The 15,600-nt window shown below is 39.4% G+C and overlaps 1 protein-coding gene across 40 annotated transcripts in view, besides 1 other annotated feature; it reads left to right on the top strand.

The window, feature by feature from the left end:
* Positions 1 to 15,600, top strand: part of DYM (dymeclin) — a 424,259-nt gene that overhangs the window by 247,638 nt on the left and 161,021 nt on the right. For 11 of the 40 annotated variants that reach the window (NM_001374429.1, NM_001353212.3, NM_001374441.1 and 8 more), the window contains one exon: positions 3,293 to 3,457. The exons of the other annotated variants lie outside the window; for them this stretch is intronic. In NM_001374429.1, coding sequence (NP_001361358.1) covers positions 3,293 to 3,457 — 165 coding nt within the window. The remainder of the gene's footprint in view (positions 1 to 3,292; positions 3,458 to 15,600) is intronic. 40 annotated transcript variants of the gene reach the window in all.
* Positions 9,130 to 10,007: an enhancer, noted in NCBI's record as "NANOG-H3K27ac hESC enhancer chr18:46729371-46730248 (GRCh37/hg19 assembly coordinates)". NCBI's record gives its function as "activates a minimal SCP1, AML or CMV promoter by ChIP-STARR-seq in naive H9 embryonic stem cells {active_cell/tissue: H9 hESC(naive)}" and the evidence as "EXISTENCE:reporter gene assay evidence [ECO:0000049][PMID:30033119]".

Below are 15,600 nucleotides of genomic sequence, written 5' to 3'. Positions count from 1 at the left end.
TAAGTAACAGTGACTGTTTTTTATGGGCTAGCTCCAGACCACATTTGCCTCCTTCCCATGATCTTGTTTTTCTGATGTCCCAAGCTGTAAGTATAGAGGTCAGAATGACATTTTAGGGCTCTAGGTTTGAATCTCATAATCTTAAAATGGATATTATTCAGTTTATCAAAAAGATCAGTTCTATTTTTTTTTTCAGATTAAAAATAAATTAGGCCGGACATGGTGGCTTATTTCTGTAATCTCAACACTTTGGAAGGCCAGGGTGGATGGATCACTTGAGCCCAAGAATTTAAGACCAGACTGGGCAATATAGTGAGACCCTGCCTCTAGTAAAAATTTTAAAAATTAGCTGAGTGTGGTGGCACACACTTGTGGTTCCAGCTATTTGGGAGGCTGAGGTAAGAGGATCACTTGCCTAGGTAGTTTAGGCTGCAGTGAGCTATGATTGTGGCACTGTACTCCAGCCTGGGTGACAGAATGAGACTGTCTCAAAAAAAAAAAATTAGTTTTACCAAAAATAGTGCAAATAATTTTCATTTACCTTTAACTCACATTCCCAAATGTTAAAATTTTACCACATTTGCTTTACTATTGTGTTTGTCTCTTTTTTTTGAAATGGTTGAGAATAAGTTTACAGACATGATGTCCCATTGCTAAGTACTACATGGTGTATTTCTTAAAAATAAGGATATTTTTCAAAATCAGGAAATTAACATTGATAAAAACTATTTTAAGTAAAAAATGCCTTTTTTCTCCTCCAAGTCAGGAATCTAATACCAAAATCATGTTACATATAGTTGTCTTCTTTCATCTTTTTTAATCTGGAATGGTCCCTCAGTCTTTCTTTGTCTTTTATGGCCTTTAAAATTTGGAGAATACAGAACAGTTTTTTGTTTATTTGTAGAATGTCCCTCAATTTTGGTTTGCTTGATTTTTTGGGAATTAGATTTTGGCTATGCTGTGATCATATCAGGAGCCACATGACATCTACTTGTTCCATTACTGATGTTAATGTTAACTGTGATCCCTTGTTTAAAGTGCTGGTGATACACATTTTTCAAGAATATGTTTCTTGTATTTTAAGTTTTTGCTCTCTTTTGGTAGATGGAGTCCTAGAATCCTTTCCAAGACTCAATAGAAATATCTCTTTAAATATAAGCCTACTTTAAAAGATTTTTAACTACTCTGTTTTGGAGATTAACAGCTTCTTAAGACTTTCTCTATTTCAGAGGAATTTTGTTTTGTCTAATAATCTGTCTCCTGCTCTAGGTTGTAAGCTCCCTAAGGGTAGAGATTGTGTGTACATCATTCCCCACCCTGTCTTCAATGCCCAGCACTATTCCCACATGCAGTAGATAGTAGTTACTGCTTGACTGATTGGTTGTTTGATAGGCTGGTGGTTGAATGGATGAATGGATTGTTCGTTTGTGGAAATTTGCCCATTTCAAATCTTCTAACTTACTAGTTTTGAGTTCAACATACTTTAAAAATTACCTATCACCCTCTTGGTATTAATACTTTGATATAGTTTTGATGTAGTTCTTCAGACATGATTCTCAAGGACTAATAATAGCCAAGACATATCAGATATGTTCACTATTGTGTTGATTCACCTTGTCAGATTGATTTTACATTCTCTTCTCTCTAGCTTGCTATTTTTAAATGGCCTGAAATGTGGCGTCAGTGAAATTACTCTGACAATAATAGTAATAATTCTTATTGGTCCTCTTATTACTTTATTTTTTGTAATATCACTTTAAAATCTTGGAGCGGTTTAAAATTTTTTACTATGTTGTTCGCTTATGGGTTTGAGGCTTAGAGAGATCATACACCCACTATTATAAAGCTGCCAATGGGTGAGCAGGATTTAGATTTCTAAGTTTTGTCTTTCTTTAAAAAATTTTATTTTTGCAAGCACTTTTCCAAAGGATTTCTAAGTTTTCTGACTCCTAATTCAGTGTTCTCTCTACCATAATCTCTTCCATATTGTAGTAGTATTATTGCCTACTTGCCAGGAACATATTCCTAATACCGTGAAGAAAAAGTATTTTGTATCACTTTGTTCTACCAAGGCGTATTTTATGTGGTTCACTAATGACAGCCTCATATTTTGAGACTTTTCTCCCAGTGAGTATGCCTTTTCTCCCCTAAATAGACTTTTTAAAGAGCAGTTTTAGGTTCACAGCAAAAGTGATCAGAAAGTATAGAGTTGCCATATATCCCCTGGCCTCCAACCTCCCCCACTATCAACATCCTGTGCCAGAGTGACGTATTTGTTATAGTTGATGAAACTGCATTGACACATAATCATCCAAACTACATAGTTTACATTAGGGTTCACTCTTGGTGTTGTATATTCTTTGGTTTTTGACAAATGTATGTATCCACCATTATAGTAGTAATACAGTAGCTTCACTGTCCTAAAAATCCTCTATGCTTTGTATATTCATCCCTCTCTCCCCTCTAACTCCTGGCAACCCCTAATCTTTTTGCTGTCTCCATAGTTTTTCCTTTTCCAGAATGTCATATAAATGGAATCACACAATATGTAGCCTTTGCAGATTGGTGGCTTTCACTTAGTAATTTAGGTTCCTCCATGTCTTTTCATGACTTCATAGCTCATTTTTTTAGCCCTAAATAATAATCCATCGTCTAGATGTACCACCGTTTATTTATTTATTCATCTACTAAAGAATACCTTGGTTGCTTTCAAGTTTGGGCAGTTATGAATAAAGCTGCCATAAACACCTGTGTGCAGATTTTTGTGTGGATATAAGTTTTCAACTCTTTTGGATAAATTCTAAAGAGCACAATTTCTGGATTGTATGGTAAGAGTATATTTAGTTTTATAAGAAACTGCCGAACTGCATTCCAAAGTAGCTTTACCATTGTGCATTTCCACCAGCAGTGAATGAGAGTTCCTGTTGCTCCACATCCTCGCCTGCATTTGGTGTAATCCATGCTCTGGATTTGGGCCATTCAAATAGTCTGTGGTGGTGTCTCATTGTTTGAATTTGCATTTTCCTAGTGATGTATGATGTTAAACATCTCTTCATATGCTTATTTGCCATCTGTATATCTTCTCTGATGAAGTGTCTGTTTAGATCTTTTGCCCATTTTTTATTCTGATTGTTCATTTTCTTTTTTAACTTTTTATTCTGACAGTTTTTTTTTTTCTTGGGCACCATCTAGTGAAGATACACAGAAAGCTTTGAGGACATAAAAAATGATTTATTTTTTCAAAGGAAAACTCCTCTCTTTCTGTTTCTCTCCTTTTACCTTTGTCTTTCAGTTATACCTGCCGCCACTTGCGGAGATATGTTTATGTGTTGGACAAACTGTATTTCCCCCACTCTCACTGTTCTACGCTTCAGCATTGCTTCTCGACCCTCAGTGACAATGGAGAGGAACTCTTGTCTTTAACTTGCTCTCACATTCTCAGATCCTATGCTTCCAGGTTATTAACCTCTGCTGTCCATTTACTGCATGCTGCATGTTGTATATGACTGACAATTGCATGTTTTAATAAGACATGTGTCAATTAAATTATTAAAGAGAACATTTATATTTGAAATGGTACTAAATAATTTTTTTAAAATAATAGCTGGATTTTGTTTCCTTACAAATGTCTTCTTAAGTAATTTATATTATGTTTCACGGGAGAGAGGAAAGCTTTCAACCACAGAGTTGTCTATATAAACTTGCCAGAACTATTCTATACCGCATTCCATTTGGGAATCTTTTGATTTATAGTAGTTGGAGTGCTCTGATGTTTTATATGAAATAGACTCTACAGTTACTATGACCTTTGAGTTCTCCTTCATGCAAGCACACCTGAGAGCTAGCTGTAGGATTTCACCTATGTTCCGATAGAGGTGCATTCAGTTGAGCAGGTTGATTTTATAGGAAGGCAGAAATTATACTATTGGGGTTTTGTATTTTGTACTCATTTTATTTACATACAGAGTGGCTATAAAATCATATAAAATCAGCAGGTTGCAATGTGTCATGGATGAATGTAGATTAAACATAATGGGGGTCAGTGGAGTAAGAAAGAGACAAGCTGTCAATCTCGAATATCAGAGAAAATCAACACCTGCTGTTTTGTGTTTATCGTGCACCAAAATAGAGGGGCAGTATGACATTACCACTTTGTGCTTTGCAGTTAACATTTTTAACACGTTTTTTTTTTTCTAAGTAAGAGATGACTTATACCAGCACTATACTGTTAGCTAGATATGGTGATTTAAGGCAATAACTTCACTGCCAGATGATTTAGATGAAGAAGGAGAAAACTCCATGACAACCTTAACCAGAAATTAGCAAACATTTAGAATTTAAAATAGACCTTTTCAGATGATGAAACATATAAAACTTGAGACTATACATAATATCTAAGTGAAAATACTTGATTGCTAGGAAAGGAAAGCAGTCTGGTGTGTAAGTTGACAGAGACTTTTCTTGGAAGCAGAAAGATTTTATAGACTCGTGATGATGTTGATCAGCCTCACATCGAGTCATTGTAGATACTTTTGAGAAATAAAAAACTGAGGGTTAGAAAAGTAGGTGAAAATAATAGAATTAACTGTTACGTATGTAATGTTAGAAGAATTTATCAAATTTAGCAGACTAAACCCAGTGACTTTCCACTGGCTTATGGAAAGTGAGGGAATATCAGGTAAGTTGCATGATACTCTCAGGAATTGGAGACAGAGTGTGTCTGGTTTCAAGGAATGAGGAGAACTGCTGCTGATCATTGAACTTCTGAAATGTGCAGGATAATTGACGTCTTTTTCTTTTTAATTTTTTTTTTTTTTTTTTTTTTGAGATGGAGTCTTGCTCTGTCACCCAGGCTAGGCTGCAGTGACTCAATCTCTGCTCACTGCAACCTCTGCCTCCCTGGCCCAAGCAGTTCTCCCACCTCAGCCTCCCGAGTAGCTGGGATTACAGGTGTGCACCACCACGCCTGGCTAATTTTTATATTTTTAGAAGAGACAGTGTTTCACCATGTTGGCCAGGCTAGTCTTGAACTCCTGACCTCAAGTGATCTGCCCTCCTCGGCCTCCCAAAGTGTTGGAATTACAGGTGTGAGCCACTACACCCGGTCGACCTTACTCTTATTTACTAGTGTATCATCGGACTCTCCACAAAACCAATAGGAGATTTTATATGTAAGTGGAGAGAGAGAGAGATGGAGACAGAGCTATTTTGGGCTTTGGCTATTGCAGGGGCTTGCAAGTCTGAAATCTGTAGGGCAGGTTGGCAGCCTGGAAATTCAGGTAAGCCTTGATATTGCAGTCTCAAATTCTAAATGCACAGGGCAGGCCGTCAGACAAGTGACTCAGGCAGGATTTTTATGCTGTGGTCTTCAGACAGAATTCCTTCTTCCTCAGGAAACCTCAGTCTTTATAATAGCTTCAGCTGATTGGGTGAGTCCTATTCATGTTATAAAAGGTACTCTGCTTTCCTTAACATTCCATAAATGTTAATCACATCTGCAAATACCTTCACAGCAACATCTAGACTAGTGTTTGACCCAACAACTGGGCACAATAGTTTAGCCAGGTTTACACATAAAACATCATCACACTATGCTTCTCTTCTGTGTTCTTTGTTACCACGTATCTGTTCCATGTGTTTTTCTTTGTATATATCCTATCCTGTCATATCTCTCCTATGGTTTTGTGGAAACTATAAGCCTTCTGGGGGTAAACACTATATCTTGTTCATTGTTATACATCGTATAGCATATCATGCCTGGCGCATTGTTAACCCTCATTAATACAGCTGGCAGCAGATTTTAGCATTCGTCATGTGTGCCAGAGGCCCCTGTCTTTTTTCTCCTGGAGTCACACTCCTCACCTAGCAGGAGCAGACAGGAGACAGAAATACATGTTCAGCTGGGAAAATAAAAGAAAATGAAAGAAAAAGGAGAAGGAAGACAAAGTAGGGAAAAACAAAAGTTTAAAAATGAGGAGAAAGATGGAGACACCATGTGGTGAAAGCAGTGTCCAATTCCTGAGCCTCCTTCCCCTGATGCCCAGCAGAGTTCAGCCAACACTCAGTTTCTGAGTCAGTGTAGAATTTATTCTGCATTTTCTGTTTCCTCTTTCAACACCTTTCCTGGAACCCCCTCCTTCCTTACCCACTTGGGTTTCTCAGTACTCTCAGCTGGGGTTTACAGTATGAAGCCTCCAGGGGGTATTTTTTCAATATCAAGCCCTCCTGAGGCCCTGCCCATTTTTTTCTGAACAACAGAGAAGAAATACAGTGTTAATATAGTGTAGTGGCTAGGGGCATGGGCTCTGGAGTTAAGGCTTCCTCCCCATACCCCCAACCAACTTTCACTCCTTGCCTTACCACTTGCAGTCTGGGACAGGACAGAGGACACTGTTCTATTCAGGACAGACCTGAATAGATTTGCATAAAAGGAATTACCTCGCCATCTTCTCTTGCCGTGTTCCTTTGCAGGTGACAAACATTTTGCATACACAGTGACACATGGCCAGGTGGAGTGTAGTCCCTGCAGGTGAGAGATTTTCTTCAACAGAACTACATTATATAGAGAGACAAACCAAGCCAAATATCTGAATGGAGCAATCATGGACTTACTTAACAAAATCAAATAGCTTTCTGTTATGCGGAATTTAAAAATGTAACTCAGTTTCTAGAGAGAAATATAAGCTTATTTCTTAAAAAAGAACTTTACCAGCTGGGCGCGGTGGCTAATGCCTGTAATACCAGCACTTTGGGAGGCCAAGATGGGCAGATCATAAGGTCAGGAGATCGAGACCATCCTGGCTAACACAGTGAAACCCTGTCTCTACTAAAAATACAAAAAATTAGCCAGGAGTGGTGGCACACGCTTGTAGTCCCAGCTACTCAGGAGTCTGAGGCAGGAGAATCGCTTGAGCCTGGGAGACGGAGGTTGCAGTGAGCCGAGATTGTGCCACTGCACTCCAGCCTGGGTGACACAGAGCAAGACTCCGCAAAAAACAAAAAAACAAAAAAAAAACTCTACCTTAGTCAAACATGACTTACTGCTATAGATAGAAGTCTTACTCCACTGCAAACTTCTTCCAAATGTAAGAATTCGTTTCACAGCAACCCTGAAAGAGAGCACTTCTGTGTGCTGCTTACCTCAGAAGGCAGTAAAGCTCTTGCTGTTTCATTTTTAGAAAGATTAGAATATGTTAAGCCTGCCTACCAATAATTTTTGTATATTGGCTATAGCTCTGTGCTTTAGAGAAACACATAAATGTGTAAACTGTGCTGTCTATGAGGTCCCCTTGGGTTTTTGAAAACACCTGTCATTGACTCCCCTTAATTTTTGTTCTCTTCAGCTTAAATACCTTGGCCACTTAAACCATTCCTGACAGCCGATGATTTTTAGATTATGCAGTCTTTTTATTATCTTCTTGGATGATTGATAGTACCCATCATAAAATTTGATATCCAGAATTTGATATAATATTTCAGTATATTTTATAATTTAAAAATATGAATTATAAAATTATAGTTATGTTATATGTATTTTTTTCTCATCTACTATGGCAATCTGTAATAAATTATACTCTTAATTTGTCCTAAGACTGGAGTGATTTTTAAAAGCAGGCACACCTTGACTCATATAGAATTACCAGATCTTTTTCACACAAAAACACATTTCTCTAGATTTGTATATTTAATTATTTGAATGTGATTGCAGGGCTTTACATTTGTTCTTATTTAAATGTAATGTATTGAGGCCAGTCACAGTGACTCACGCCTGTAATCTTAGCAGTTTGGGAGGCTGAGGCAGGTGGATCACCTGAGGACAGGATTTCAAGACCAGCCTGGCCAACATGGTGAAACCCTGTCTCTACTAAAAATACAAAAAATTAGCTGGGTGTAGTGGTACATGCCTGTAGTCCCAGCTACTTGGGAGGCTGAGGCAGGAGAATCGCTTGAACCCAGGAGGCAGAGGTTGCAGTAAGCCGAGATCACGCCACTGCACTCCAGCCTGAGCAACAGAGTGAGACTCTGTCTCAAGAAATAAATAAACAAATAAATATATGTAATGTATTGAATTTATCTTGTTCTGAGTCACATTTTATGAAGCCATAAGCCTTTCAGACCTGTTAGCTCCTCCATTTTACCCCCAGAAGCATTGAAATCAGCTCTCAAACTACCAACCTTGGATTTGACTTCTCTAGAAATCAAATTTAGAATTTTGAGTAAGCGCTTGAGAATTTCAATTCATTGCTAGGCTTTTTTAGTTTGTGTGTGCACTTCAGTAGCGAGTTGAGGTTTACTTAGTGCTTTTGACAATGATTGTGATATGGTCAAAGCATGCTGCTTCTGATGACTGTCATGCATTTAAGTGAATCTGAGAGGAAAGAATCTGACTTTAGGTAACAGACCAATACTGCTTAGAGTTCCACGTCCAATTTTAAGTTCTAATTTCTTAGGTTTCAGGGTGGAGTAGTGAATAAGTTTGGTGAGAAATCTGTGAAGTAAGAAAGTACCTATTTGTCTTTATTTTTACTTCACATACTTTGCTGATGTCAAAAATATAGCTGCTACTATTGTTTTAATTAGGCCTGAGGCAAGGAAAAATGAAGGGCTAAGTTTAGTGTTGAGTTAATTCTGTTGCAGTGGCACAGTTTATTTTGAGTTACTATTAACTCGGCTCTTCAGATTGTTGCTGCTTGATGAGAGAAAGCTGAAAAGAGCATCAGAAATGTTTAAAAATTATTTTCTAACACACATTGAGTTAAAAACATTATATTCTCTTTTTATAAAGTAAAGCATGTTAACACTGAAGTCCTTGACTAGTTAATACTTTGCCAGGATCAGTGGTTCCTGACCTTTTGGGGTTCATATAACTCTTCTACAATCTATTAAAAATTATAGACCCTCTCTTCAAAAACCAGAAGTAGGAGTGGACCTGATTTAGGCTTACATGGACCTGATTTAGGTAGAGTTTTAGATATAGGTGCTGTGTAAAAGAGAGACTCCCCTGCCCAAATAATAGTGGCTTAAAGAAGCAAATGGAAGTTTACTTCTCAAGTAAAAGTAGAGCTAATGTGGCAGCTCTGCCCCATAGAATTTTCAAGACCCAGAGTTGTTTTTTTTTTTTTTTTTTTTTTTTTTTACTTTTTTAAATTTATTTTTTTATTGATAATTCTTGGGTGTTTCTCACAGAGGGGGATTTGGCAGGGTCATGGGACAATAGTGGAGGGAAGGTCAGCAGATAAACAAGTGAACAAAGGTCTCTGGTTTTCCTAGGCAGAGGACCCTGCGGCCTTCCGCAGTGTTTGTGTCCCTGATTACTTGAGATTAGGGATTGGTGATGACTCTTAACGAGCATGCTGCCTTCAAGCATCTGTTTAACAAAGCACATCTTGCACCGCCCTTAAACCATTTAACCCTGAGTGGACACAGCACATGTTTCAGAGAGCACAGGGTTGGGGGTAAGGTCACAGATCAACAGGATCCCAAGGCAGAGGAATTTTTCTTAGTGCAGAACAAAATGAAAAGTCTCCCATGTCTACTTCTTTCACACAGACACGGCAACCATCCGATTTCTCAATCTTTTCCCCACCTTTCCCGCCTTTCTATTCCACAAAGCCGCCATTGTCATCCTGGCCCGTTCTCAATGAGCTGTTGGGCACACCTCCCAGACGGGGTGGTGGCCGGGCAGAGGGGCTCCTCACTTCCCAGTAGGGGCGGCCGGGCAGAGGCGCCCCTCACCTCCTGGACGGGGCGGCTGGCCGGGCAGGGGGGGCTGACCCCCCCCACCTCCCTCCCAGACGGGGTGGCTGGCCGGGCGGGGGGCTGACCCCCCAACCTCCCTCCCGGACGGGGCGGCTGGCCGGGCAGAGGGGCTCCTCACATCCCAGTAGGGGCAGCCGGGCAGAGGCGCCCCTCACCTCCCGGACGGGGCGGCTGGCCGGGCGGAGGGCTGACCCCCCAACCTCCCTCCCGGACGGCACGGCCGGCCAGGCGGGGGGCTGACCCCCCCACCTCCCTCCCGGATGGCACGGCTGGCCGGGCGGGGGGGCTGACCCCTCACCTCCCTCCCGGATGGGGCGGCTGGCCAGGCGGGGGGCTGACCCCCCCCAACCTCCCTCCCGGACGGGGTGGCTGCCGGGCGGAGACGCTCCTCACTTCCCAGATGGGGTGGCTGCCGGGCGGAGAGGCTCCTCACTTCTCAGACGGGGCAGCTGCCGGGCGGAGGGGCTCCTCACTTCTCAGACGGGGTGGTTGCCAGGCAGAGGGTCTCCTCACTTCTCAGACGGGGCGGCCAGGCATAGACGCTCCTCACCTCCCAGACGGGGTCTCGGCCGGGCAGAGGCGCTCCTCACATCCCAGATGGGGCGGCGGGGCAGAGGCGCTCCCCACATCTCAGACAATGGGCGGCCGGGCAGAGACGCTCCTCACTTCCTAGATGTGATGGCGGCTGGGAAGAGGCGCTCCTCACTTCCTAGATGGGATGGCGGCCGGGCGGAGACGCTCCTCACTTTCCAGACTGGGCAGCCAGGCAGAGGGGCTCCTCACATCCCAGACGATGGGCGGCCAGGCAGAGACACTCCTCACTTCCCAGACGGGGTGGCGGCCGGGCAGAGGCTGCAATCTCGGCACTTTGGGAGGCCAAGGCAGGCGGCTGGGAGGTGTAGGTTGTAGTGAGCCGAGATCACGCCACTGCACTCCCCTAGAGTTCTTTTCTGTTGTGTTCCACCACCCCCTGTGTGTTGCTCTGACCAAAAGGTCGCGAATGGCTCACCACAAGCTCTGCATTTCAGATAGTAGAAGAGTGAAAGGGACTAGGGTTGGATGTACATTTCCATTTTAAGGGCATCACACATCCCTTTGGCCAAAAGTTTGTCATAGGACTACCCAACGTGCGTGGTGAGCTGGAAAGAAAGTTTTCGGCTAAGTGACCCTGTGGCCTGCTAAGTATTCTGCTGTTGGGTAAGAAGGGAAGATGGTTATGGGGACAACTAACAGTCTCTGCCATACAATAGAGAGTTCCTGTCCTGACTAATTAACAAATGCTTATTCAGTGATTACCGTGTGATTAGTCCTGTGCCAAACAGCAAATGGGGTTCATGGTGAAGACAGAAAAATAATACCATTGGGAAAAAATCATTACCTTGTACTGTTAGTTAAATATAAAATTAGTAACATATAAAAAGCGATCTCTTCTGACAGGAGAATCTGAAGTAGTCTGAAACAGGATTATCTGCGCAGTAACTAAGAATAGATAATGTGCTATTAGCAGAGTAGGCATGGAAAACTCAAGTCCAGAAGTTCACATATAGAAGAGCACATGACATATGCTAAGGCAGTAATAGGATGTTTGGCAAAAACAGATTTATCTGTGATATTAATCAGTATTGCAACGAGTTACATTCTCCAGGGCCAGACTCTCGAGGGCCTTGAATGCTAGGCCAGGCCATTTCATGTATTTTATTTGTTCTGGCTTTTTTTGTGTATGATTTTGGTAGCCCATTGAGTTTTACTTGGTGCTTTTGAGCCTGACTGATGTGGTCGAAGCATGCTGCGTCTGATGACTGTCATGCATTTAAATGAACCTGAGGTGAAAGAATCTGAATTTAGGTAATAGACCAACACATAGACTACCTGATTGTGGCAGTAGAGATGGAAAAAGAAGGACTTAATGGAGGTGAACTTTGAAAAAAAAAGGAATTGAAGTATGATATTGAGAGAACATAATTCAACATTGAAATGGTGTAGTATGAAATATTAGTAGGAACTGTGTTATTACTTCTGTGCATGTAGTTAGTTCCTATCAACATGGCAAATATTTAGTATGTATCATTTGTGTGGTTTATATTTTATACTGTAAGAGGAGTGTGCTAGGGGTATTCTTATTACCGATACTCATATTAAAAGCTTTGTGTAATCAGTTGGTAAAAGAATGATTTTTTAAGAGTGAAGATTTTTTGAACTGTCCAACCATTTAAAAATTTGTTATACTAAAGATATAGCATAATACGTGATTCTGGATTATTTTCCAGCCATACAATGCAATACAAAGAATGGCGATTCAAGAGATCTGTTTCACAACATGGTGATTATTGTTAATAACAATGTATTGTATACATGAAAATTGCTAGGAGAGTAGATCTTTAAGTGTTCTTACCACAAAGAAGTATGTGAAGCAATTAATATGTTAATTTGCCTGATTTAATCATTTCCACAATGTATACATATATCAAAACATCATTTACATCATAAATATATATAATTTTTGTCAATTAAAAAATTTAGTAATGAAGATAGTGGATTCTATAAAGAAATATGCTAGAAGTATTTACCAAAAGTCATTAAAATGTTAATATATTGGAATTTATCTTAAGGGAAGAACTTAACCTAAAGAAAGGGTTATATTTAGGAACAAAATAGAAGAATGGTCAAATAAACTATATCCTATCAACTCAATGGAATATCATACAGCCATTAAAATATTATAAAGAAAAATAAGTAGAAATATGGAAAACATTTGACATAATGTTTATGAAAAAAGAATATAAGCTTCTATACTGCTATTTTCTATTTTTAGTAGTTATATTTGATATAATGTTTAATGAAAAAAATATAAAATTATATACTGCTATTAAAACAACTACATAAAAATTATGTATGTGTCCAAAAACCAGATAATGTATAAAAATAGCTGTGGAACAATAGTAAAATGTACATGACATTTCTTTTTAAAATTATTTAAAATTTATCTTTTACAAATTAAAAAAATTATGCAAATTTAAATAAATTTTTTCTCTCACTTTTCTCTACCCTCCTCCCAACCACCCCTAAGTTACATGTATGTCTTTGGATTTTCTTTCCTTTTTTCCCTCTACTAACATAATGCAATGCCACTTTATTAATTGGCAAAGAACTGCGGTGGTTTACAGGATTAGATAGGAGTTCCTCAGTATGATCACAGAGAATTTCTCCCATGGTTTATTTTAGAACTTTCATAGATTTGCTTTTTTTCTTCTTTTTTTTTCTTTTCTTTTTAACTGAATGGATTTATAATTCTAAGTACGTGTAATATGAAATCATTTTTATATCTCAACTGTAGCACTTTCAAATTTAGGAATACTTTTACCCATTTGTCATGTCTTTTATACTGTGCTTTAAAAAAAATCACATCTGGTGCCATTTTATTACTTTCAAAGGATTGCATCTTCAGTCTAAATCTAAGACAAAGCTCTAATGAGTTTCCTCAAAACAAGTTTTAAAAATTGCTGGAATGGTCTTGTCATATAATATGCTATTCACTTAATCTGTAATGAATAAATACTTGAAGCTATAGTAATAATTTTTCATGCATATGATACTGTCGTAATAATTCTGTTGTGGCTGTGCTTTATTGATTTCTGTGCCACTTCTGTGGCATGAAATGAAATGTATTATCCCACTTAAACCATTATGGTTTCCTTTTGAATTACATATTCATTACTTGATCCTGTCATCAAGCCTATTCTATTTTCCATAATGTGGTATTCAGTCTTAAAGATTTACAGCGTTAGTCAGTGCAGTATAAGTCAAAATAGGACAAGTAAATTCAGATCAGAAAAGTTGGTAAGAAAATGTAATAGATAAATTTTTTTATTTAATTATACTTTAAGTTTTAGGGTACATGGGCACAACGTGCAGGTTTGTTACATATGTATACATGTGCCATGTTGGTGTGCTGCACCCATTAACTTGTCATTTACATTAGGTATATCTCCTAATGCTATCCCTCCTTTCTCCCCCCACCCCACAACAGGCCCTGGTGTGTGATGTTCCCCTTCCTGTGTCCAAGTGTTCTCATTGTTCATTTCCCACCTATGAGTGAGAACATGTGGTGTTTGGTTTTTTGTCCTTGTGATAGTTTGCTGAGAGTGATGGTTTCCAGCTTCATCCATGTCCCTACAAAGGACATTAACTCATCCTTTTTTATGGCCACATAGTATTCCATGGTGTATATGTGCCACATTTTCTTAATCCAGTCTATCATTGTTGGACATTTGGCTTGGTTCCAAGTCTTTGCTATTGTGAATAGTGCTGCAATAAACATACGTGTGCATGTGTCTTTATAGCAGCATCATTTATAATCCTTTGGGTATATACCCAGTAATGGGATGGCTGGGTCAAATGGTATTTCTAGTTCTAGATCCCTGAGGAATCGCCACACCGACTTCCACAATGGTTAAACTAGTTTACAGTCCCACCAACAGTGTAAAAGTGTTCCTATTTCTCCACATCCTCTCCAGCACCTGTTGTTTCCTGACTTTTTAATGATTGCCATTCTAACTGGTGTGAGATGGTATCTCATTGTGGTTTTGATTTGCATTTCTCTGATGGCCAGTGATGATGAGCATTTTTTCATGTGTCTTTTGGCTGCATAAATGTCTTCTTTTGAGAAGTGTCTGTTCATGTTCTTCACCCACTTTTTGATGGGGTTGTTTTTTTCTTGTAAATTTGTTTGAGTTCTTTGTAGATTTTGGATATTAGCCCCTTGTCAGATGGGTAGATGGCAAAAATTTTCTCCCATTCTGTAGGTTGCCTGTTCACTCTGATGGTAGTTTCTTTTGCTGTGCAGAAGCTCTTTAGTTGAATTAGATCCCATTTGTCAATTTTGGCTTTTGTTGCCATTGTTTTTGGTGTTTTAGACATGAAGTCCTTGCCCATGCCTATGTCCTGAATGGTATTGCCTAGGTTTTCTTCTAGGGTTTTTATGGTTTTAGGTCTAACATCTAAGTCTTTAATCCATCTTGAATTAATTTTTGTATAAGGTGTAAGGAAGGGATCCAGTTTCAGTTTTCTCCATATGGCTAGCCAGTTTTCCCAGCACCATTTATTAAATAGGGAATCCTTTCCCCATTTCTTGTTTTTGTCAGGTTTGTCAAAGATCAGATGGTTGTAGATGTGTGGCACTATTTCTGAGGGCTCTGTTCTGTTCCATTGGTCTATATCTCTGTTTTGGTACCAGTACCATGCTGTTTTGGTTACTGTAGCCTTGTAGTACAGTTTGAAGTCAAGTAGCGTGATGCCTCCAGCTTTGTTCTCTTGGCTTAGGATTGACTTGGCGATGCGGGCTCTTTTTTGGTTCCATATGAACTTTAAAGTAGTTTTTTCCAATTCTGTGAAGAAGGTCATTGGTAGCTTGATGGGGATGGCATTGAATCTTTAAATTACCTTGGGCAGTATGGCCAGTTTCATGATATTGATTCTTCCTACCCATGAGCATGGAATATTCTCCCATTTGTTTGTATCCTCTTTTATTTCATTGAGCAGTGGTTTGTAGTTCTCCTTGAAGAGGTCCTTCACGTCCCTTGTAAGTTGGATTCCTAGGTATTTTACTCTCTTTGAAGCAATTGTGAATGGGAGTTCACTCATGATTTGGCTATAATAGATAAATTTTTAAAAATTGTTCTTCTAACTTAGTATGTTTCTGGTTTGGGGTTTTTCTTTTTTTCAAGAACCATGGGAGTGAATTGTTTACATGCATTCTAGGGGAGAGTAGAAGGCACATTTTGAGAAACTTCACCGCCTTCTTTACTTGACCTCAACAGATGAACTAGGTAGTACAGCCCCACC

This window comes from Homo sapiens, chromosome 18, assembly GCF_000001405.40.
Source record: "Homo sapiens chromosome 18, GRCh38.p14 Primary Assembly".
Lineage (NCBI taxonomy): Eukaryota > Metazoa > Chordata > Mammalia > Primates > Hominidae > Homo > Homo sapiens.
The sequence above is the reverse complement of the archived record's forward strand: the minus strand, read 5'-3'. Positions and strand labels throughout refer to the sequence as shown.